The following is a 24,576-nucleotide window of genomic DNA, read 5'->3' on the forward strand; positions in this document are numbered from 1 at the left end:
TTGCTCACCCTCCCCATGGTAGTTAAATATGTCAGTACATCATGTCTTCAAAGCCATTTTCCTTCAGCATTATTTCTTTTGTATTGCATGAGTCACAAATCAACCTTTTGCTTTTCAACATCAGAATCATAGCTTTTCTCCTATGATTGCCAAGCTGAAGGTACAGTGGAGCAAAATAACATGTTTTGTACACCCAGCTCTCTGAAGGGTGGAGGGGAATGGTGCTTCAAGCCCCAGAAGAATATGCTTCCTCCCATGGAACGGGACTGCAGAACCCCATCCAGGAGCAGTCAAGACGCATCTGTGGGAGGTTCCAGGGCTCAAGACATTTGGCAGCACTGCTGACGTGGACGTTCAACTCAGAAGACCAGATCTTGGCTTAGCCTCAAGGAGAGTTAGGTCTTTGTTGTGCTTGGATGGAAACTGGCAGGGCTCTTTGATAGGTGTGAGGGTTTTAAGGGAATGAAATAGTAACATTAAATTTGCAACAGTTATTCTGCAAAATCTTCAAATCCATAGAAATAGCTCTATTTCTGCTACAAAATGAGTTTTGGATGAGGAATGAATTACCTCGGCATCACTTTTGCATTTGTGCCCTTGTATTTGGTTTTTCCTTTTTTTTCTCATTTTGGTTTCCGGTTTTTAGGGTTCAATTTTAAATGATTGTAAAAGGTCAAGCCCTGGGTGAATATTTTCAGAGCCCTTTAATTGCTTGGAACTTCTTTCTAACATGGGGAGCCTTTCTCGGTAACATTCATCATCAGAATTCAAATATTCTAAAAAGAATTTTTTTTTTTTTTTTGATACGGAGTCTCACTCTGTCACCTGGCTGGAGTGCAGTGGCGTGATCTCAGCTCACTGCAACTTCCGCCTCCCGGGTTCAAGCAATTCTCCTGCCTCAGCCTCCCGAGTGGCAGGGACTACAGGTGCATACCACCATGCCCGGCTAATTTTTGTATTTTTTAATATTTTGTATTTTGTATTTGTAAAAATATTAGTAGAGACGGGGTTTCACCATGTTGGCCAGGATGGTCTAGATCTCTTGACCTCGTGATCTGCCCACCTCAGCCTCCCAAAGTGCTGGGATTACAGTTGTGAGCCACCATGTCTGGCCTCTAAAAAATATTTTTATTTAAATTATCTAGGCTCTGGGAATCTCTTTTCCACACATCTAAATAAAAGAATCCTAAATATCATTTTATAATTTTTTTCACTAACAAGAATCCTATCTTGTGGTGTTAGGAAGCAAGGCATGGACTGTATTGTGGTATTCTGAGGTTTAATCTGTACAAGTCCAAGTTGTTACTGTTAGTCACTTCCACACATCTTTGAAGGTTACACCTAGACCTGATTCTGTGCTGAGATAATATACCTGCTTTTTTTTTTTATTTCCCAAGGGAATTTGGTATTTCTTTCTGTATTCACATTTCCTGTCACTCTGACTCTTGCATCTGACTCCAGCCAGGAATGAGCCTAACACATTGCCACCACATTTCCAAAAAGAATTCACTGTGTCTGAAAACAGAGATGTAATTGAGTTCTATGGATTGCAGATTACCTAGTTATTGGAATGAATGCTGTCCCAAAACTGTACTGGCTCTTACAACAGCCTCACAGAACCACAGAGAGCCAGGTATTTCTGCCCCTACTGACTAGGCCTCCCAGCCACTTTATATTAACTAAGCTTTAGAAGAAATGTGCACAAAAGAGGTAGAGGGGGCCGATAGGAATAGCACAGGTTGTACCATTGCATACTTACTGTTTCTTGGGAGCCTACAACAAAGGCTTTGTACATTTGAATAAAAGCTAATGGTGCAACGCTAGTTGCTATGGCTCTAGGGTATTAATGAACATAAATATTAAGGTCTTAATTATGCATGCCACTTAATATATTGCATTTGAGGCACTGATATTCTGAAAATATACAAGGTAATCGGCTATTTCTCCCAAAGCTAAAAAGAGAGACTTGCTAAACATTTAAAAAATTGTCTAGATCTTTCTTTTCCTGTTTCCTTCCATCAATCCTTCCTATATTGTATTTCTCCCAATATTGTATTTCTCCCAATTTGTTACTGCCAATCTTCTGTGGATATAGAGACTAAATATCAAAGCTTGTGAGAATTATTCATAAAGTAAGGACATAAAGGTTCTGATGAAGGAATTTTTAAATAATTTCACAGACTCTGTAATGTTCATTTTAGCTTCTTAGAAATCAGCCCCTCCCCTTTACTTTGTATGTTTCCTTATTCTTGACTAGATTCTAGATCAAAGATGTATAAATTGTATTCCATAATTCTACAGGGGTGCTTAAGGAGTAGCTTAAGAGCTACTGTAGATAGGACTGAAGACCCTATTTTTCCTGCTCCCCGTCTGACTATATTGTGAAACTGCATGTGATTAGATTTGTTTTAAAATGTCCATATTGGTTGAACAGGTTGAAAAACCAGTTCCAGAGAAGGTAATACATAGTTAAATTGCATATAGATAAATAGATCAATCTTGTGATATATGCAGCAGCTGTAATGAATTCTTCCATTGACTGATATATTATCCATTGGTAGAATTATAGACAACACAATACTACCCAAACCACAAAACTCTTTGGACAAAGAAAAGTGAGTGGTGATGAAGATTCACAGGTGTTACAAGTTGGTCTTAAAACATTGAGATTGACTAGTCTTAGGTGGTTTTGCTGAATTACCTCTCCCTTAATATTAAACCCTTATGAATTTCAAGAAAAATTTCATCCATATGTTTCTGATTCAATTAGTATTAACTCATTAAATGTTTTTTAAAAGCTATTTGAAATTTGAGAATCCTTTTTATGAGCTTTAGTAATCCTTTCTTCTTTGAATTAGGAAGGAGAATTTTGCCAAGAGTTAATGGTACTTGAACCTCAATACGCCTAAGGGGATTCTAAACTTAGCAAAAAATCCACCATCCTGTCACAACCAATGGCACTCGTACTTGCAAACTATCTGCCACTTGCTATCTCCTTCCACATGCTTGATGATGTTAGATCATCATATGTAAAAGATATGTCTTTTACATATGACAATGCTAAATAGCTATTGCTACTAAAGAAGGGTAACATCTACAAGTGAAGAACAAATCCTAGTTACCAGCACTCTTTATAGAAAGCTAATTAAATACAAATCTAAAATTCCGGGAAGCCGAAATCACTACTCTTTTCTTTGTCTCTTACAGTTACAGGTCAGAATACATGGATAGTTTAGGTTAACTCTGAGCAGCTAGCATATAAGAGTTGAACAAAAAGAACAAAGGGAGTAAAACATTTTGTAGTTTAAGAAACACTAAGCATTCAAATACAGTATTTGCAGAAGTACTCAGAACGTGAACTAAAAAGAACTATGTTTATGCAGAGGACACAGGCTTGCTGAATAATATGTTCCATTAACATGATATAAGTGCAAATTCAATAGCTATAGATTTTCTTCACATTTAGGTTTTTCCTTTTTTTTTTTTTTTTTTTTTTGATACCAGAATCAGCAATGGTGACTTCGAAGTCATCATGAGATGGATGGCAGGATGCAAAATTGCTCAAACAGCAGTGGAGAAATGCTCTCTGTACCTTCAGAATGGGAAGTTTTTGTCGACTAGCTTTCTGTTTGTTTATTTCAATAAGTTGAATCATGAAAACTATTCCTAAAAAGAAAAGAAAAATCATTAGGACACTTGGAAGCCACTCTCTAAAGCCATGGGTATGGCAATGGAACTTCAAGAACAGGAGCAACCAGAAGGGTCCTTAGAAGCTACAGACACAATGGCCCACTTATATACAAGGTTTTGAAGAGCTCCTGAGAGAAATGCACGGAAAAGCCAACAGTGGTAGGTACGTGATGGCAATAGCTACTGCCTTTAATCCCAAGAAGGAAGATCATAAGAGCACACAGCTTAAGCATACGAGTATCTCTAGTTATCAACATTATATCCCCATGTAAAATATTATGTGATACAGAGTCGAATTGCATATTGAATTCTTTTGAGTAAGGAGGAAGAAATCTCTTTTGGGAGATCCAGTAAGACTTTTCTACCACTGCTCTTTGGGAAGGTTCCTGTGTAGAGGAAGCTATATTGTGTTCACTCAAGGGACTAAAGGTTTCCAAGGAAGCAATACAGAACAACTTCAAAGATCAGGGCTTCCAAAAGTGTAGAACGAAACTTTAAACACACAGTCTCTTAGTTCCATTTGCTTCCAGATAAACAGAAAGTTTGTACTGCATTGGCAATGTTTATCTTATTTTATTTGTCTGGTAATTGTACAAGAAGGTCAAGGATTGCTTTTGAATGAAGGTCATAATTGTTTGCACAGTACAAGCATCTACTTAGAAACACATGTTTTCAAATAAAATTTCCTAGAAAAACTCATTTTAATGAAGAGTAGGGGTGTAAAAGAGTTTCTTGAAAGTTTTACAAAACCTTACACCCCATGAAATAAACTCATAATTATAAAATCTGTTCAATGCCTCTGCAACCACATTCTGGTTGAAGAGTTGATGGCATGAGTTTATACAAGGAAATAATGGTCTGTCTGCTAAGTTACACCTGCATCGACCTGCTCAATTTCTCATCTTCAAACCCTGCAATCAAGAGAAAAATTGTACTAAAGATTATTTAAATCTAAAAAGTACACTCAACAAATGAGGCATTTACAGAGACAAGGATTACTTTTAAGGAGGAAAATAGATACCTGGCCTCTATTTAAAATTCCTTGTCAGCACTATGACTTATATGTGCTGTAAAAGAATTTTTTTTTAAAGGCCTACTAGCAATTTTGCTTCATTTCTTTTCCTTTTTTCAGTCTTACCCTGTGCTAAGATCTGAGTGTTTGTGTGTCCTCAAAATTCCTGTGTTGACATCCTAACCCCCAAGGCAATAGGATTACAGGGTGGGGTCTTTGGGAGGTGATTAGGTCATGAGGGTGGAGCCCCTATAAATGGCTTTAGGAACCTCATCAAGGAGGCTTGGGGAGCTCTCTCTCACCCCTTCTGCTATGTGAAAGCACAGCAAGAAGATGTGGTCTGGGAGCCAGAAACCAGGCCCTCACCAGACACTGAATCTCCCTTGATCTTGCCTTTCCAGCCTTTAGAACTGTGAGAAGTACATTGCGTTATTTATAAGCTCCTCGCTTTATGGTATTTTGTTAACACAGCTGAAATGTACTAGGACAGCCCGTGACATAGACAGCGTGGAAGAACCCCCACTAGGCTACCTGAGGGCGGATGCATGTTCCCTCTCAGCTCAGAAGAATAATGTGGGAAAGACACTCCTCTGGCCAAAGAGGCAGACACAAGAAGCTTCCAAAAACAAACATAAGATATATTTGTCTTTCAAAAAGAGTATCCAATTTTTCATGTCAATATAGATAATCTGCTTAATAAAATATTGAATTTTGTTATTTTTCTTTTCTTCTACTCAAACGTAGGAGTCGTACTGAAGTATTTGAAGTATGTGAGGTATTGGAAAAATAAGCCCGCATGGAGCAGAGACACAGATGGTTTCTGTGTTTAATGATTTTCCTTTTTCTTCTTCTTTTCATTGTGTTTTTAATTTTTGTATTTGTGGTTGCCGCCCTTTGCTGGCTGACACAGCTCTGGGTCGTGTGGGAAGCAAGGTCTTTTGGAGATCATGGTAGTGGTGTGCAAGCTTTAGTTCTTAAATCCACTGATGTCCATGGGGAGACAACTGCCTTCCCCTGCTTCAAAGCCAAAACAGCGACTCAGCTCATCTTGATTCTTTATCTCTGGCAGGGATTTTAATTTCATTGCTTATTCAAAGAACTAAAATTAAGTTAGCTTTATGTTTGCTTATATATACTTTAAATAAATTCCTTGAAGAGGCCTAGGAGGTGAATAAAACTGAAGACAGGATCCAAAAAGTTTGGTACCTTCCTAGTTTTATTTTAAGATGTCATTTGGTTCTTCCTTTTCTCCTTTCTTGTTTGGACATATACTGAACTCACTCCGGTGATAGCTCAGAACAATTCCCAGAACAGTCTAAGTATGGCATTTAACCCTCCAAACGTTCAGCCAATCTTTACTGCTAGTGTTCATTTAGTTTATCAGTAAGAAAACTGGTGTTAAAGTAGAGGAATTAGAGCAGAAGAAAGAAAATAATGTGGTATACGATAATTTGAATAAACTTACAAGCTCTAGTTCATTATTTCCCAGCCAAATGTGTCTGTCACCATGCTAAGCACAAGAGAAACAGAGACATGTAAAGTATGGCTGCTGCTGTGAGGCTGTTGGGCAGAATGCAGAAACAGACCCAGGAACACATCATGGTGTGTTGTAATCAGGTCCTCTCAGGCTCCTGTGGCAGAGCGTGGAGATGAGGGCCGTCTCAGGGAGCAGGGATCTTCAGGGAAGCCTTTCTGGAAGAAGTGCTTTTTACACACAGGTTTTAGTCCTTTTGGGTTGCTATAACAAAATACCATAGAGTGAACAACAGAGATTTATTTCTCACAGTTCTGGGGACCGAGAAGTTCGAGATCCAAGTGCTGTCAGATTCGGTACCTGGCCAGGGCCGCTTTCTGTTTCAAAGATGGTGCCTGCTGTCTGTGTCCTCACTTGGTGGAAGGGGTAAATAAACTCCCTGAGGCCTGTTTTAAAAGGTGCTAATCCCATTCGTGAAGGATCCTCCCTCCTGACCTAAGGACTCCCCAAAGCCCACTCTTCCTAATCCCATCACCCTGGGGGTGAGGATTTCAACATATGAATTTTGGGGGGACACAAACATTCAGACCACAGCAGCCCAGAAATGCTTCTCTCCTTTCTGCTGTCAGCCCTGTGTGCCTATTTAGGCTGCACCACCTGCCCTGAACTATTGCAACAAGCTTCTAAGCCCTTCAGCACCATTCTGTTTCATGTCACTTTTCACTCAAAGACAACCAATTGTGCTCCTTCTACTCCACATGATTGAGAGAGTATGTTTATGGTCCTTTATAAAGGAAAAAGAGGGCAGAAACCCTCAGCAAATGATTAGACATACACTCTGAAAAGCAAGAGGAGGTAATCATTTGGTGCTGAAGACATTTAAAATGCCCCGAGTTATCTCCTGGATCATCTGAGAGGCCAGGCTAGGGCCCCAGTAAGGAGTTTGTGCTCTTTTATTCCAGGGCCCGACGGTCTGTCCAAGGCATTAGAGTTTGGAGAGGGAAGGAATCCACTCACCTTTACAGTACTGACTGCTGTTGCCATAGGACAGTGCAGAAGTGGGGTGATGGAGGGTGCACACTGTGAGGCCAGGGCCAATGACCAGCCCAAACGCTGTGTGAGTGTGTAAGAATGTGAGAGAGAAATTAGGAGTTGTGGTAGCGAGGATGGATGGAGGCCAGGCAGAGCGCTGAGAGCTACCATGTTCTCCATAGCACCCCTTTGGGTTCATCTTTAGAATCAAGAAAACTGGGAGACGCTTCCACCCTAACACTGCCTTTTACTACACTTTTTGTCAGCGCCAGCTCCTCACATTCTCAGCCTCTGCCTCAGAGTATTGCTGGTGGTGGGTTGATGAGGACAAGAACACAGCAACATCACACTGGCATTTCCTGCTTCACTGGGCTCTCCTTGATCTATCTGGAGGTGAAATGCCCAGTTTGGTCCCCCGAGATCTGGGCAATTTATTTTCTTTATTTCAGAGATCTTTACCTTTCAGACTATTCTCAAACATGATGGGCCCTTTTCAACACAAAATCTCATTCCAGTTGTCCTGCGGGATTCTGGAAGGCACAGGGCCCCATGCACAGTGGCTTAATTACATTTTAGAGGTAACGCCCCTGTTCCTTTGCTGATCAGTTTTGACCTGGCGTCTGTCAGAATTCAGATAAAGGGCGGTCGATCCTCAGCTCCTGCTATCTTGAGTAGTTACACAAGGAGCACCTAGGAGGGGAAATGCATTTAACTTTGGATAGTACAGGCATGGTAAATAAAGCTTCCAGTGGCTTTCATTAGCTAAACGTTTATACTTTACAGTTGTGCTGTCCAATACAGTAGCCAGTAAACGCGTGACCATTTAAAATTAAAGTTAATAAAAATTAAATACAATTAAACATTCGGCTCCTCAGTTGCATTACCCACAGTCAAGTGCTCAATAGCCACTCGAGGCCAGTGACTGTCATATTGGGCAGCACAGAACAAGCCGTCAATGTAGGAAGTTCTATCAGCCATCACCTTCTTAGAGAGCTCCTATTGAATGTGGTTGTAGAATCTTGCTTTAATTGTCTTCCAACTAGCACTGAGTCCTATTAAAAAAGAAATTCTTTTGAATTTAGAATCTCTTCCACCTTTTATTTTTATTTTGTGTACAGTTTAGGTTGTGCTTTATTTTTTAATTTGATGGTAAGAGGAGATGGTTTTTTTTTAATTCCGGTTCTGTGCTTGGAATTCCTTTGACTTTTAAAATGATAATAATTATCACAATGAGAGCTAAAGTGGTATAGAATGTCTCTATATTTAAGGAGACCTGCTTTGTGAACAGAGTCAAGTCAGGGCCTGTTATGTTAGGTTGTCACTGTCTGAACTTTCATATTGGAAAAAAATGAGATAAAACAATATTTTACAGCCTGCAGTCAGCAATAAGCTAACAACACTTTACATTCTACGAAAATACTTTCCCCATCTCAGTTTTGATGGAGATTATGTTGGGTTAGCATTAAACACTCAATTGCAAAAATCTTCTGAGGAAATACAAGTGTTCAGCCCAGTGCTGAAAGTCCATCTGGCCTTAGAATCACTGGTCTTAAAGGAAAGGAAGGTAGGAGGAGGCAGGAGACATTCACATTCCATTTCAGAATAGCTCCCACAGAAAGTCTATAGGTAAAAGAATAGGTGTCTATACAGGCAAGAAAAAGCAGGGCACAGTGGCTCACACCTGTAATCCCAGCACTTTGGGAGGCTGAAGAGGGTGAATCTCTTGAGCCCAGGAGTTCAAGACCAGCCTGGGTAAGATAGTAAGATTCTGTCTCTACAAATAAATTAAAAATATGTTAGCCAGGCATGATGACCTGTGCCTATGGACCCAGCTACTCTTGGCACTGATGTAGGAGGATTGCTTGAGTCCAGGAGTTTGAGGCTGCAGTGAGCTGTGATCTTGCAACCGTACTCCAGCCTGGGCAACAGAGCAAGACCCTGTCTCTAAAAATAGATAGATACATAGATAGATAGATAGATAGATAGATAGATAGATAGATAGATAGATAGATAGATGATAGATAGGATAGATAGATAGATAGATAGATAGATAGATAGATAGATAGATAACAAGCAAGAAAAGCTGAGTGTAGAGCCAGCAGCATTTGAATACATTTTTAAATGATTTCGCCTCATTGTTAATGACACTTCATACATAGCAAATGATAAATCTGAAGGACACAGTGGTTAAGACACCTGAGTTTGGATGCATACAAACCTGAGATTGGGTCCTGGATCTATTCCTACAAGTGTGTGGCTATAGGCGACGTCAATTTCCTCTCTATAAACTCAGATTACCACTTGAACATACTTCATATTGTTTGAGGACTCAATGATACAATGCATATTATGCCCTTAGTACAGTGCCTGGGTATGCACAAAGTACCCAATGCCTGCTATGATAATGATGAGGAGGATGGTGATTAAAGTTTAAAAATAAAATAAATTTAATAAAATCACAGGATGCTATGCTGATAAGCTGGGCTCCAAAAGTTTATGTGTTCGTGTGCAATGCACAGGGTAGCAGGGACAGAGCACTGTGGCTGCGCATGATAGGCATTCAATGTGTTTAATAAACACAATGACAGCAAGAAAATATTTTCTAATTTATCTCTGTAGGTTGTTTTTGTGGTTGTTGTCTTTTAAAAATTGATTATATAAATTTATCTCAAATAATAAGGTTTAGAAGGAAATTACTTTAGTCCCCAGCCACCCCCCATCAGTCAACACAGCTCATATTGGTAGACTCTAAGGATTTGCCATCTTGAAAAACCTACCTGAGCCCAGCTGGAGCTTCTGTATCTTTCTGACATAGGATACCTTCCTTGATGAATTAGCCATGCATCTGTATTCACTGTGAAATCTCTCTCTGAAACACTCACACGTCTTCTTATTTGTCTCTACAGTGGCCTTTGTTTCTTCTGTGACTTGTCACTCTAAATTTCAGGTTTGAAAAGGCTGTCGATAAAATATGGCCAGTAAATGAGTAAACCAAACATGTTAGTTTTTAGCAAGAAAACAATAGTAAGTGCAATTATAATTTTAGAAACAAGTACAGTAGAAACCATACAAGTGGATAAGTTCCTCAAGAAAGTTTATTCTCACTGTTCAAATGTTACCAATACAATTTTGATGAAGTGTTCAAAGACCTTTCTTTATTACAAGATAATTATAATGATAATTAAGAATTATCACAGTTGAGATAACAAATAACAAACAAAAATAGGCCGGGGGCAGTGGCTCACGCCTGTAATCCCAGCACTTTGGGAGGCCGAGGCGGGCAGTTCACGAGGTCAGGAGATCGAGATCATCCTGGCTAACATGGTGAAACCCCATCTCTACTAAAAATACAAAAAATTAGCCGGGTGTGGTGGTGGGCACCTGTAGTCCCAGCTACTCGGGAGGCTGAGGCAGGAGAATGGCGTGAACCCAGGAGGTGGAGCTTGCAGTAAGCCGAGATCCTGCCACTGCACTCCAACCTGGGCGGCAGAGCGAGACTCCATCTCAAAAAAAAAAAACAACAACGACAACAAAAACAATAACGACAACTGAAAGCACTTCATTTTTAGTATTATATACTTAAGTATATGTATGAAAAATACAATATAATATTTTTTAGTACTTAAATACTGCAATACTATGTACGAATGTACTGTCAAGTGGCACTAATACATAAGCACATAGGTTAATTATAGGAAATCACATAGATAGACAAAATAAAAATGTTTAATGCTTTTTTATGTGAATAGAAGATACAGAATATAGAATTGATATAAAACAATCATTTCATAGAGAACTGATAAATCAGATTACTATTTCATCATAAGATTTCATTTTAATGTTATGTTTTGTAAGTATATTTCTATGATATTGAATTTAGCCAAGGTCTCCAAATGACTTTAGATTACCTGGAAATTTCTAGTAATTGTAGAATATTAATTATGCCAGAGTTAAACTTCCTGCTAAATGAAACTGTCTTCATGTTAGAAACAGATGGATGCTAAAGGTAAAAGTTGGTTTATTTTTCTTATTTAGTGAACATGTTACAGCAGGTTGAGATTAATGTTTATATTTTTAAAATAATGAGAAAAGTCCTGAAGTAAGTAGTGATGTTTACTTTGGATTTCAGGTGAGTTTCTGTTTTCTCACAGGGGCTACCCATGACCAGGATGCATAGTCTAAACAGCCATGCGTGGTTAACCAATAATGCACTGTTATTTTTCTTTGTATCATCATTTAAGCAATATTAAATTTACATGAAAAGAAAACAGTAAAGCAAATGTTACGACATTTTCTTACTATATTAATACTGGTGAAAATTTGTGCAAGAATTAAAGAAAAATGCTGACACGATGGGGTTTTCTAAATATACAATCATGTCATCTGCAAACAGGGACAATTTGACTTCTTCTTTTCCTAATTGAATACCCTTTATTTCTTTCTCCTGCCTGATTGCCCTGGCCAGAACTTCCAACACCATGTTGAATAGGAGTGGTGAGAGAGGGCATCCCTGTCTTGTGCCAGTTTTCAAAGAGAATGCTTCCAGTTTTTGCCTATTCAGTGTGATATTGGCTGTGGGTTTGTCATAAATAGCTCTTATTATTTTGAGATACGTCCCATCAATACCTAATTTATTGAGAGTTTTTAGCATGAAGGACTGTTGAATTTCGTCAAAGGCCTTTTCTGCATCTATTGAGATAATCATGTGGTTTTTGTCTTTGGTTCTGTTTATATGCTGGATTATGTTTAATGATTTGCATATGTTGAACCAGCCTTGCATCCCAGGGATGAAGGCCACTTGATCATAGTAGATAAGCTTTTTGATGTGCCGCTGGATTCGGTTTGCCAGTATTTTATTGAGAATTTTTGCATCGATGTTCGTCAAGGATATTGGTCTAAAATTCTCTTTTTTTGTTGTATCTCTGCCAGGCTTTGGTATCACCATGATGCTGGCCTCATAAAATGAGTTAGGGAGGATTCCCTCTTTTTCTATTGATTGGAATAGTTTCAGAAGGAATGGTACCAGCTCCTCCTTGTACCTATGGTAGAATTCGGTTGTGAATCCGTCTGCCCTGGACTTTTTTGGTTGGTAGGCTATTAATTATTGCCTCAATTTCAGAGCCTGTTATTGGTCTATTCAGGGATTCAACTTCTTCCTGGTCTAGTCTTGGGAGGGTACAAGTGTCAAGGAATTTATCCATTTCTTCTAGATTTTTTAGTTTATTTGTGTAGAGGTGTTTATAGTATTCTCTGATGGTAGTTTGTATCTCTGTGGGATCGGTGGTGATATCCCCTTTATCATTTTTTATTGCATCTATATGATTCTTCTCTCTTTTCTTCATTAGTCTTGCTAGTGGTCTATCAATTTTGTTGATCTTTTCAAAAAACCAGCACCTGGATTCATTGATTTTTTGAAGGGTTTTTTTGTGTCTCTATCTCCTTCAGTTCTGCTCTGATCTTAGTTATTTCTTGCCTTCTGCTAGCTTTTGAATGTGTTTGCTCTTGCTTTTCTAGCTCTTTTAATTGTGATGTGAATCAATATCGTGAAAATGGCCATACTGCCCAAGGTAATTTACAGATTCAATGCCATCCCCATCAAGCTACCAATGACTTTCTTCACAGAATTGGAAAAAACTACTTTAAAGTTCATATGGAACCAAAAAATAGCCTGCATTGCCAAGTCAATCCTAAGCCAAAAGAACAAAGCTGGAGGCATCATGCTACCTGACTTCAAACTATACTACAAGGCTACAGTACCCAAAACAGCATGGTACTCATTCCAAAACAGAGATATAGACCAATGGAACAGAACAGAGCCCTCAGAAATAATACCACACATCTACAACCATCTGATCTTTGACAAACCTGACAAAAACAATAAATGGGGAAAATATTCCGTATTTAATAAATGGTGCTGGGAAAACTGGCTAGCCATATGTAAAAAGCTGAAACTGGATCCCTTCCTTACACTTTATACAAAAATTAATTCAAGATAGATCAAAGACTTAAATGTTAGACCTAAAATCATAAAAACCCTGGAAGAAAACCTAGGCAATACCATTCAGGACATAGGCATGGGCAAGGACTTCATGTCTAGAACACCAAAAGCAATGGCAACAAAAGCCAAAATTGACAAATGGGATCTAATGAAACTGAAGAGCTTCTGCACAGCAAAAGAAACTACCATCAGAGTGAACAGGCAACCTACAGAATGGGATAAAATTTTTGCAATCTACTCATCTGACAAAGGGCTAATATCCAGAACCTACAAAGAACTCAAACAAATTTACAAGAAAAAAACAAACAACCCCATCAAAAAGTGGGTGAAGGATATGAAAAGACACTTCTCAAAAGAAGAAGACATTTATGCAGCCAACAGACAAATGGAAAAATGCTCATCATCACCGGTCATCAGAGAAATGCAAATCAAAACCACAATGAGATACCATCTCCCACTAGTTAGAATGGCAATCATTATAACCTCAGGAAACAACAGGTGCTGGAGAGGATGTGGAGAAATAGGAACACTTTTACACTGTTGGTGGGACTGTAAACTAGTTCAACCATTGTGGAAGACAGTGTGGCGATTCCTCAGGGATCTAGAACTAGAAATACCATTTGACCCAGCCATCCCATTACTGGGTATATACCCAAAGGATTATAAGTCATACTGCTATAAAGACACATGCACACATATGTTTATTGCGGCACTATTCACAACAGCAAAGACTTGGAACCAACCCAGATGTCCATCAATGATAGACTGGATTAAGAAAATGTGGCACATATATACCATGGAATACTATGCAGCCATAAAAAAGGATGAGTTCATGTCCTTCGTAGGGACATGGATGAAGCTTGAAACCATCATTCTCAGCAAACTATCGCAAGGACAAAAAACCAAACACTGCATGTTCTCACTCATAGCTGGGAATTGAACAATGAGAACACTTGGACACAGGAAGGGGAACGTCACACACCGGGGCCTGTCGGGGGGTGGGGGGAGGGGGAGGGATAGCATTAAGAGATATACCTAATGTAAATGACGAGTTAATGGGTGCAGCACACCAACATGGCACATGTATACATATGTAACAAACCTGCACGTTGTGCACATGTACCCTAGAACTTAAAGTATAATAAAAAAAAGAAAGAAAGAAAAATGCATGTACTGGTACAATGAAATAATTTAGACTTCTCATGAATCATTAATCACTACTTAGTACAATTCTAGTTTTCATATTTTTTGCTTTAAATATGATTAGCTCACTATAAACCTTTTAATCTAGAATCAAAATCTTTCCAGAATGAATACAGAGCTGTGGAAGATTTCTTCCCACAGATCCTGTACAGCCTTCATATGTCACATTTCTTTAGCTTTTGATCTTCTCTCTAAAACCAGAAACCAGACCCATTTCCCATTTAACCAAATAACAAAAACCATAGTGCTGCATGCAATCATAATTTCTACATGTTTCATTTTTACTGGAAGAAGGGCAAAGTGAAAATTAAAGTCTGTAACATCTGTAGTTTTGCCAGTGTGAAAAACTGTGATTGTTTCCAACTGAAAAATACCCAGTGATCTCAAGCATGTACATAAAAGGCAAAAAATGATAAATTGAAGTTCTACCAAACTAAAAACTTTTGTTCGATGAAAGACCTCGTTAAGACAAAATATAAACTACAGATTAGGAGAAAATATTTGTAAACCATAGAGATGACAAAGAACTTACCCCTAAAATATGTAAAGAGTTCTCAAAACTCAACATTAAACAAACAGCCCAAGTAGAAATGGATGAAAGACATGAAGAGAAGTTTTACCAAAGATAATATACAGATGGCAAGTAAGCAAATCAAAAGATATTTGACATCATTAGCCATTAGGGAAATGCAATCCAAAACCACAATCAGACACCACTACACCTATCAGTTACCTATCAAAATGGCTAAAATTAAAAATAGTGATAGCAACAAATGCCGGGAAAGATATGAAGAACTTGATCTCTTATACATCGCTGGTGGGAAAGTGAAATGGTACAGCTTCTCTAGATAATAGTTCAGAATTTTCTTGTTTTAGAGTAGCTGTATTTCTTTTTTTTTTTTTTTTTTTTTTGTTGAGACGGAGTCTCGCTCTGTCGCCCAGGCTGGAGTGCAGTGGCGCGATCTCGGCTCACTGCAAGCTCTGCCTCCCAGGTTCACGCCAGTCTCCTGCCTCAGCCTCCCGTGTAGCTGGAACTACAGGCGCCCGCCACCACGCCCGGCTAATTTTTTTTGTATTTTAGTAGAGACGGGGTTTCTCCATGTTAGCCAGGATGGTCTCCATCTCCTGACCTTGTGATCCACCCGCCTCGGCCTTCCAAAGTGCTGGGATTACAGGCGTGAGCCACTGCACCCGGCCTACAGTAGCTATATTTCTAATAGCCAAAATCTAAAACACAAACCAACAAACAAATGTCTTTAATTAACATGACTAGCTAAACAACTGTGGTCCAAACTACTTAGCAATAAAAATAAATAAACTTGGTACACATAACAATTTGGATGGATTTCAAAGAAGTTTAAACTGAGTAAAAAATGCAAATTGCAAAAGGATACATATTGCATGATTGCATTTATATAAAATTATTTAAATGACAAAACTACAGATACAGAAAACAGATTAGTGGTTCCAGGTAGAGATACGGGCTGAAAATAAAGAGGGTAGCACTGGGGAACTTAGTAGTAATGGAAAAGTTCCTTATCTTGACTGTGGTAGTATTTACACAAATCTACACGTGCCATTAAAGTAAATGGAACCACACACACACACATTTGGGTGCATTTATGAATGGTAATATCTGAATACTATCTGTGGATTGTATCAATGCCAATTTCCTGGTTTTGATATCATACTACTGTTGTCAAGTCCATACAAATTGACAATTATTTCAAAATTAAAAAGCAAACACATTAACAAGAAGATCTACATATTTCCTCTTTTTTTTTCTTCCAAGAAAGAGACCTTATGAACCCATTAGGTAATGATAGATCTTAGTGTGCGGTTACAACGTTAAGATGTTAAGCATAACTATACCACGTCTACAACATTTACAGCTTGATTTCTATTAAAACATTTGTTGTCAATCTTTCTTCCCCTTGAAGACGCTTGAGTACTTCAAGTTCTCGGTACTTAGGTACTACAAACTGCCATTTATAAGAGTGGCTTCCTCTTTCAGTGATTCTAAAAAGTAGGATGTGATCTCGAAAAAAAAATTATTATCCTGCTCCTCATCATGACTTCCCAGTTGAGAAATCCTAATTACAGGTAAAAGATTAATAAAAGTTTTAAAAACCTTATTTGAAAACAATACTTGTGAAGGCATAAAACTATATGAAATTTTGCATTTAGAAACTTAAGGTGTTTTCTTCTATATGGACAATCATAGTAAGACATTAAGTTTGATTACAGAAGGTGGATTTGTTCAGTGAGTCATTCATTCATTTATCAAATATTCATTAAGTATTACATTATTTTAGCTAACATCTTGGATTTTGGAAATACAAATTTTTTTTTTCTTTTGGAGTACTCTCAATTTAGTAAGGAAGACTGAAATGCAAGTCATACATGAAAATCATAACTGAACCTTGTTATGGAATCCAACAGTTGTGTATTTGTGGAGATTAAAGTACAATGCCTTTAATTGATAAAAATGCATGATGAAGTAGAAATGGATATTTAATTAACTTAAATGACATATTACACTTGACAATCATGTAAACCAATCAATATGACAGAGGTATAATTATTCTTTGAAAAGTAAGTTGGAATTTAATCTTTAATTTTGAGGAATTACCTAATACAATACCATGCATAATGTTCAGGGCTAGTGAGCTATTTCTTTTTTTTTTTTTTTTTTTTTTTTTGAGATGGAGTCTCGCTCTGTCGCCCAGGCTGGAGTGCAGTGGCGGGATCTCGGCTCACTGCAAGCTCCGCCTCCCGGGTTCACGCCATTCTCCTGCCTCAGCCTCCCAAGTAGCTGGGACTACAGGCGTCCGCCACTACGCCCGGCTAATTTTTTGTATTTTTAGTAGAGACGGGGTTTCACCGTTTTAGCCGGGATGGTCTCGATCTCCTGACCTCGTGATCCGCCCGCCTCGGCCTCCCAAAGTGCTGGGATTACAGGCGTGAGCCACCGCGCCCGGCCTCTTTTTTTTTTTAATCCAGGACTTCTAATGGAGCACTTCGGGAATTAAAGATAGAGTTTAGTAAGTAAGCCATATATATGCCATCTTAGAGAGGCTCTTGTCCTACTTCAGCTTTTCCACATTAGGTCCTAACAAATTCTGTCTGAAATATCTCCTTTGCTTTACTTTACATATTATGTGTTCACTTAGTTCCAGTTACTACAGTCTCTTCCTGGTGTGATCTTCAATTCCCTTTTACTAAAGAGAATGGCCCAAAGAAACCAACTAGTGACAGTAAAAGGAAAAGGGGGGTTGAGTTAGTGAGGAGGCAGGGCACCTGATCAGGTTTGGATGTCCCCTCCAAATCTCATGTTGAATTGTAATACCCAGTATTGGAGGTGGGGCCCCATGGGAGGTGATTGAATCATGGAGTGAGTTTCTCATGAATGGTTTAGCACCATCTTCTTGGTGCTGTCCTCGCGATAGTGGAGACAGTGGGTGAGTTCTCGTGAGATCTCAGTGTTTAAAAGTACGTGGCACCTCCCCCTATCCTCTCTCTCTCTCTCTCTCACTCTTGCCCCTGCTCTGGCCATGTGGCATGCCTTCTCCCCCTTTGCGTTCTGCCATGATTGTAAACTTCCTGAGGCCTCCCCAGAAGCTCAGCAGATGCCAGCATCATGGTTCCCATAAAGCCTGCAGAACCATGAGCCAATTAAACCTCTTTTCTTTATAAATTAGTCAGTCTCTGGTATTTCTTTATAGCAATGTGAGAACGATCTAATACAGCAACCTTAGGCGCTCATTCATCCTGCCTTTTCTGCTTACACCAGAGTGTGTCGTCTCCTGTCTCTTTAATTGAGCAGAAGTGACATCAAAGAAAAGGGTAATTTTTTCTGATATATGATGTAATAATTACAAATTATTATGATAGTACTTTCCATTTGCTTAGAACTTCAGAACTTATATTCACACATGGTTCCTTTATCTGACCTTAGCTGTCTTTTAAGGCAGATGTAACTGTTCAGTTAAGAGACTGAAGCTCAACAGGCAAAGTTGCGTGCACAAAGCCACACACACACATCAAGTACAGTCTTGGCCAGGGCTGTGGTCATATCCTGTGATCCAAACGAGGTCTCTTGCCACTGTAGCATATTTTTATAAGTCATTTTAAGTTTTGAATTAGTTTTAAAACAATTTTTATTGTTGATTGGTCTTGAACATGCCATAACTAAATGAGATATCTTCCATCTGAGAGCAGAGAACAGAGATTTTCTTTGATCTCCACTCTTCTGAGGAGTCTGTCACTCTGAGAATATGAGAGTCTTTCCTAGCACACACTCTGTAAGTTTGGGTTTTAAATATATCACCACTCCACTCTTTCTCTTCCTGTCATTTCTTTCTTCCAAAACACAGGAACTGAAACCCATGTCTCATCTCTACAACCAGCTGTCAAATCTCTGAATCATGCCCCTCAAAGAGTATTTTTAAGGAACTCTGTTTTTGAGGCAAATGTATCTTAAAGTTTCCTCATCATCTCAGATGGCCTGGAGCCTTCATCCGGCCCCGGTTTCTGTGAACTTGAGGTTGAACTGACCAAGGCTTTGATTTTATGTCCCTTATGCTTGTTTATGTTCATAATCCATGCTGCCCTCTCTCTATGTTTTCTATCCTTTTCCTCTTGAAAACTCATTGAGAGTTTTTGAAACACTTACCTGCAGTCCCAATGTTATGGTATTTGTCTCACATCACACTTGGGAAGGATTTTCTTCCCTTGTATTAAATTTCAAGGCCACTGAGAGTTAGCTTTGTCTTAGCTCTGCTTGGAGACATTTCTTGGATGTTGCTATTCAACCTATAGTGGTGATCATTTTAACATTCTTAAAATCCCAGACATTCAAACCAACACTATTCTTGCTTCAGGACAGAATCCAAAGAAAGAGTTGAATACCTGGAGATGCTATCATATGAATGTGTTTGAGAAGGGGAGAAATGTTACATTTGTCAGCACTGTTAACTACAAAAAGAGTGACCATAAGGACCATTTCCAGCCTGTCAGTCTGCACTATGTGCACTGTATTGAAGGCCGATGTCCAATTATCTTCAGCCAGACTTGGATCAGTATGACTGGGGAGAACCACAAATGCCTGAAATGCACCAGGAGTCTGATTATAGTCAACAGAGAATCAATGCCAAGCCTCCATGGATCCACAAAAACCTGTCCAAGTTGGCAATTCACCTTACATTTTTCTGCACAAGATAAATCTTTGGCTCTCTGGAGTGTTTGATCTGACCTGTAGATGGGAAATGCAATCAGTCACTGTCCTTATCTATGTTAGATTTTGTGTACCATCTATATTGCTAGGTTTCTCCATTATGCCAGACACAGTTGCCCTCTATTGCATGTTTTGATTACAGCAACAGCTTTGGGCTTGTATGAGTCAACTTGAAAACTCCTATTTGCTTACCTAGCTCATTCACCAGCTCAAGCAATTTATATAGACTTATACATCTTACATATGGTATTTTCTGTTTTCCTACCTGATGTGGCCCTTAAGAAATGAGTCATTATCTCATCTCTACTAAATTATTACTTTTAAATAGGAAAAGTGTCAGCCAATCATCCTAGAGAGAACTACCGGAGGCCTCTCAAGAAAGAGTCATGAGCCAGCCTCAGAGAGGGCCACAGAAGCCCAGGAGGGGTGGCTCTTCGAGGGCATTCCTGGGCATAGGTGTTTAGTTGCCTCTTTTTTCCAGTTTCAATGCTGCATTTTCACTTGACGCATTTTCTCAATTTCATTTTAAAAGTTTATGGGTACTATTTTGGAGCCAATTTGTCTTATTAATGGAAAATGCAGACTAGAAGTCAGGAAATCTCCGCCTGTCTATTCATTCATTTTCTTTTCCCCAAATCAACTTTTCTACACTTGCTCACAGTGAGACATAATAGAAATCCATAGAGTAATAAATTGTAAAAGTTCACTTTTTATTAAAATGTGATTATATTTTCATGGATTATATCACTCATTTTCTAAGCAGAGTTGCTGCAATATTGAATCCAGGGACTGCAGAGGACCCTGCCCTATTGTCAACAGCATCCTTCCCCCAACAACACATACACCTGTCAATTCCAGGCCACCAAGACCGCTATTCGAAAACTCAGAAGGCCAGGCATGGTGGCTCATGCCTGTAATCCAAGCACTTTGGGAGGCCGAGGCAGGCGGATCATTTTAGGTCAGAAATTCGAGACCAGCCTGACCAACATGGTGAAACCTTGTCTCTACTAAAAATACAAAAATTAGCCAGGTGTGGTGGTGGGTGCCTGTAATCCCAGCTACTCAGGAAGCTGAGGCAGGAGAATCCCTTGAGTCTGGGAGGTGGAGGTTGCAGTGAACAGAGATGGCGACATTGCCCTCTAGCTTGGGCAAAACAGCAAGACTCCCTCTCAAAAAAAAAAAAAAGAAAAGAAAAGAAAAACTCAGATTTGGGGGTAAATCTAAATAGTATACCTAGGTTCTGAATTAGAAATTCAAAGTTTAAAGGCCAAGTAGCTTAGTTTTGAATAAACTCAATGGGGATTTTGCCTTCAAATAGGTGGATTTAACTCCACTGTCCAGAAGGCATAGGGGTGTAATTTACAAAAGGGAAGCTGAGTTTAAGGAGAAAATGTGGAGCGAGAATGGCAAAGAGGAGGAGGACACAGCTCTATCTGAGGATGGATATCTACCGGGCCCTCAGAAATGGTGCCAGGTGGGAATATTGGACCAGAGTCAAGGTGTCATATTTTATTTCTTAAGAGAAGCCAGGGATTCCAATTTTATCTAATATGTCATCATTTTTATATTTGTATTACTTAGTTTCTTTGTGAAATTCAAAGAGGGTCCCAACTTTCCAATGAGTTACCACTTTCTAGTCTTTGTCATAGAGTCAAAGAAAAGGTATTTTTAGTTTTAATTTATTATTATTATTTTCAAATTCCTTATTTGGAATTTGATGCTCATCTTCTAGGTTTTTTTCCTCTACTCACCTTCCCTGTATGCTGAAATTTGGGAGTGTATAGAGAATGGATTACCTAAATTCTGAAAACGAGAGGAAAACTGCTTGTTAATTCTTTTGGAGATGAAATCCAAATCCACTGGAAGATTCTTGGGACACATTCCTGGAAATCTAGCTTCTTATTTCAAAATTAGACTCCCCATCTTCCTCTTTTGAGGTTAGCTCTCCTATTCAAGTAGAGTAGAGCATTAGGCAGCTAGAGATAAACTAAGTGTAAAGAGACTTTTTCTCAGAAAGATTTATTGCTGTGAGAAGAACATTTACACTCTGGAAGGCCTGCTGATTGAACTTCTGAATTCTTCATTAAGTCTAGGAAGGAGACTTTTTGTCGAAGACTCCATTACACAACATTCTTCACAAGGCTCATCCTGCTCTTCAAAGGCCCTTAATACCAGAATAGACCCATCAGCTTCCTCTTTCCACTAGGGACACCCCCACCCATAAAGCTGGCACTACTATATATTCAAGCATATGTCACTCTAAATTACGTACCCATATAACCCGGAGAACTTGAAGGTAGAGACTCTCCCTGAAAACAGAAATAAAGGAATCTTGTTTAAATAACCTCTATCTCTAGATGATTTAAAATACTTTGACAGATACATATTTTTATTTGAAAAAATGAATCAAAAATAATTCAATCAGAAGAGCAACATCTGTTACTAATCAATAGTCTTGCAAAAGAATTAAAATGGTCTTTTCCTCTCCCCTGAAATCTACTGATAAGTTTTTAGATCCTATGCCATTCATTGAGATCAGACGCATTCACTCTGCCTCAGATCTTGCAATTACATAAATAATAAAGTCCTCAAGGCTGATGGCATGGGAACAGTGGAATGTGTAACAATATAATCAAGAGAAAAATCAATATTTAATATAAAGCATTCTAACACTGTAGAGTAAGATGAATTTTAAAGCTCTTTGTTCTCTGAGGCCAGGTTGTTCCATAGCTAATGTTTTTTACTTGTATTAAATCTTGTGCCATTTTATCTGAGATGATGTCTTATTTTCTTTGTTTATGACTTTGGAAATTATTATAACAAGAAATGTAAAAGAGGCGACGGAGCAAGTACAAATGGATAAAACAGCATTCACTACCCAACACAAGTGTAAACGGGGCCAATAACTTTTTAACTTGACAGTCTCTTAATCTTTTCTAGTGAGCTCAGTGATGATTTTTCTTGTTTCGAAACCTGTCACAGCATTCATTTGTGACCATTTTTATTGCTGGGATTAGTTGAGGTCTATCAATTCTAAAACTCCAGCTCAGCCCAACGAATGTCAACTTTAATCACCAAATGCCAAGCAATGTAAGAATTCCAGTGTGTACCTTTGTGGTTATGATTACATTTTAAAAGAGCACTATAGTTCATGGACTGACCTAAGCCAGCAAAAATTCAAAATATGGGAGGTCTCTGAATAGGGACCATGCCTTTTGTTCTCTCTAAAACCTTTAGCTATATTATTTGCCAGCTCCTAAAGTCAAAATAGAGAGCAGTGGTGTTAAACTTACCAAAGTGGTTGTAATTCATACGTGCACACTGACCACCTGCCCATGTCCTTGGCTTGTCTGGATATGAAAATGTTTTCACTGGAACCTCACCATTGAAATCTGGCTTACTGCTGACATTTAATTTGCATATTTACCAAGGCATGCTATCAGATTTGTATGGCTATTCCTAAAGCTGGATTTACAGATGTCTCCTGGCATATTGAGAAGGTCATCTGATAGAGATGTAGAGAATATACCAAGTGCCTTTTGATATCTGCATTTGGATAATGTTTAGAAGGAGTGATGGTGTTTACCCTGCTCCACCCAGAAGGGCCAATTTGGAATATAAATGATTGCTTTTGGCAAGGGAAGCTTATGAGCTTCTGCCCTGTCCTCCTGCTCAGAGAGAAACAGAGCCGGGAATACAATGCTTTGTGGTGAATCTAGAGTGTTCCCAGAAATAAATTATCTTTTGAATGAGCTGGAAAATTTTATAATTCCCTCTGAAGGTTTAGCAGAAGCACTGCACCTGGACTGGCCATCAGAGGCTCCAAGAAGAATGGCTGTCAGCTTAGGCGTGCAAGAGGGAAGAGTCTTTTAAGACACTGACTTGCTGCAGACTTGTAGCATGAGCCCATGTTGGGAGAGGCAGGTAGAGGCCAGGCATCCAGACACCCAGACATGTGCACACGTGGGACTGCCAACCAAGTAGGGTTGCCAGCCAGCAGAGTCAGAGAGACACTGCCACCAAAGGTATTTGTGCACACCATAAGGGGCTTCACACAACTGAAAGACAGTGGTGGTCTTTCATGTGGAGGTGGGCTTGTTCTAAAGGTGGTGTTCCTCCTCCTCTGGCTCCTGAGTCACACCTAAGCTTTTGAAGCAAATGTCTACCCTGGGCTCAGTCCTCATGAATGTGAATCTGTGATCTGGGATAGGGCCTGGGCATTATTAAGTTACAGTGATGATTCTGACAATGCAAGCTGAGTTTGAGAACTACTACCCTAAGGCATAAAGTTCCCGCAGAACATCATGTATTAGAAGAATCAAACCAAAACAAAACAAAAAACAAGCTTTAGTGAGTGGATTGAAGAGGCTATGGGCCAAATAGGAGGAGGAGGGAGGGTAAACACACATAGATTCCTAGGAAATCAAGCTATGATTAAAAACAAAACAATGGCTTCAAACATTAGGATCCATAAAAATCCCTCAGAAGCTTGTTTAAAATACAGATTCCTTGGCACATGTCCAGAGATTCTGAATCAGTAGATCTGGTCTGGAGTCAGGAATCTGAGTTTCAAAATATGCATTCCAGTAGAATCTGATGCAAGTGTCATAAAGTTGACACTATATTTACCAAAATAAAAAACAAAACAAACCATGATGTAAGCATTTTCTTATTTTTCAAATTGTCAGAGGGTATATCTACACAGAGGACATATGTATTCTCTATATCCCATATAGAGATCTATATCCCATACATAAAATACAATTCTGCAATAAAGATTTCTTCCTCATTTAGGTTAATCATATAGGGCATTCAAGGAATGCCTTACAATTCACTAAAATATTGCCCACATATGGAGTATTATTATGAGATGGACCATAAAAACAGTATTCTACTAGATGTTGTGTTTTTATTCTGATTCTGTCATAAAT

General features: G+C 38.9%; 1 long non-coding RNA gene across 1 annotated transcript, besides 1 other annotated feature; it reads right to left on the reverse strand.

Moving 5' to 3' along the window:
• Window positions 1-1,818: 1,818 nt before the first annotated feature.
• LOC124903133 (uncharacterized) lies at window positions 1,819-21,957 on the reverse strand. Its single transcript, XR_007063717.1, has 3 exons — window positions 21,918-21,957; window positions 9,986-10,166; window positions 1,819-3,666 (listed from the first exon to the last, which is right to left on the reverse strand). It is a non-coding gene; the product is annotated as an uncharacterized LOC124903133 (long non-coding RNA).
• Window positions 4,008-4,302: a silencer, noted in NCBI's record as "tiled region #3351; K562 Repressive non-DNase unmatched - State 24:Quies". NCBI's record gives its function as "represses a minimal TATA promoter and a strong SV40 promoter by Sharpr-MPRA in K562 cells {active_cell/tissue: K562}" and the evidence as "EXISTENCE:reporter gene assay evidence [ECO:0000049][PMID:27701403]".
• Window positions 21,958-24,576: the final 2,619 nt, after the last annotated feature.

The sequence above is a fragment of the Homo sapiens genome, chromosome 13, assembly GCF_000001405.40.
Source record: "Homo sapiens chromosome 13, GRCh38.p14 Primary Assembly".
NCBI lineage: Eukaryota > Metazoa > Chordata > Mammalia > Primates > Hominidae > Homo > Homo sapiens.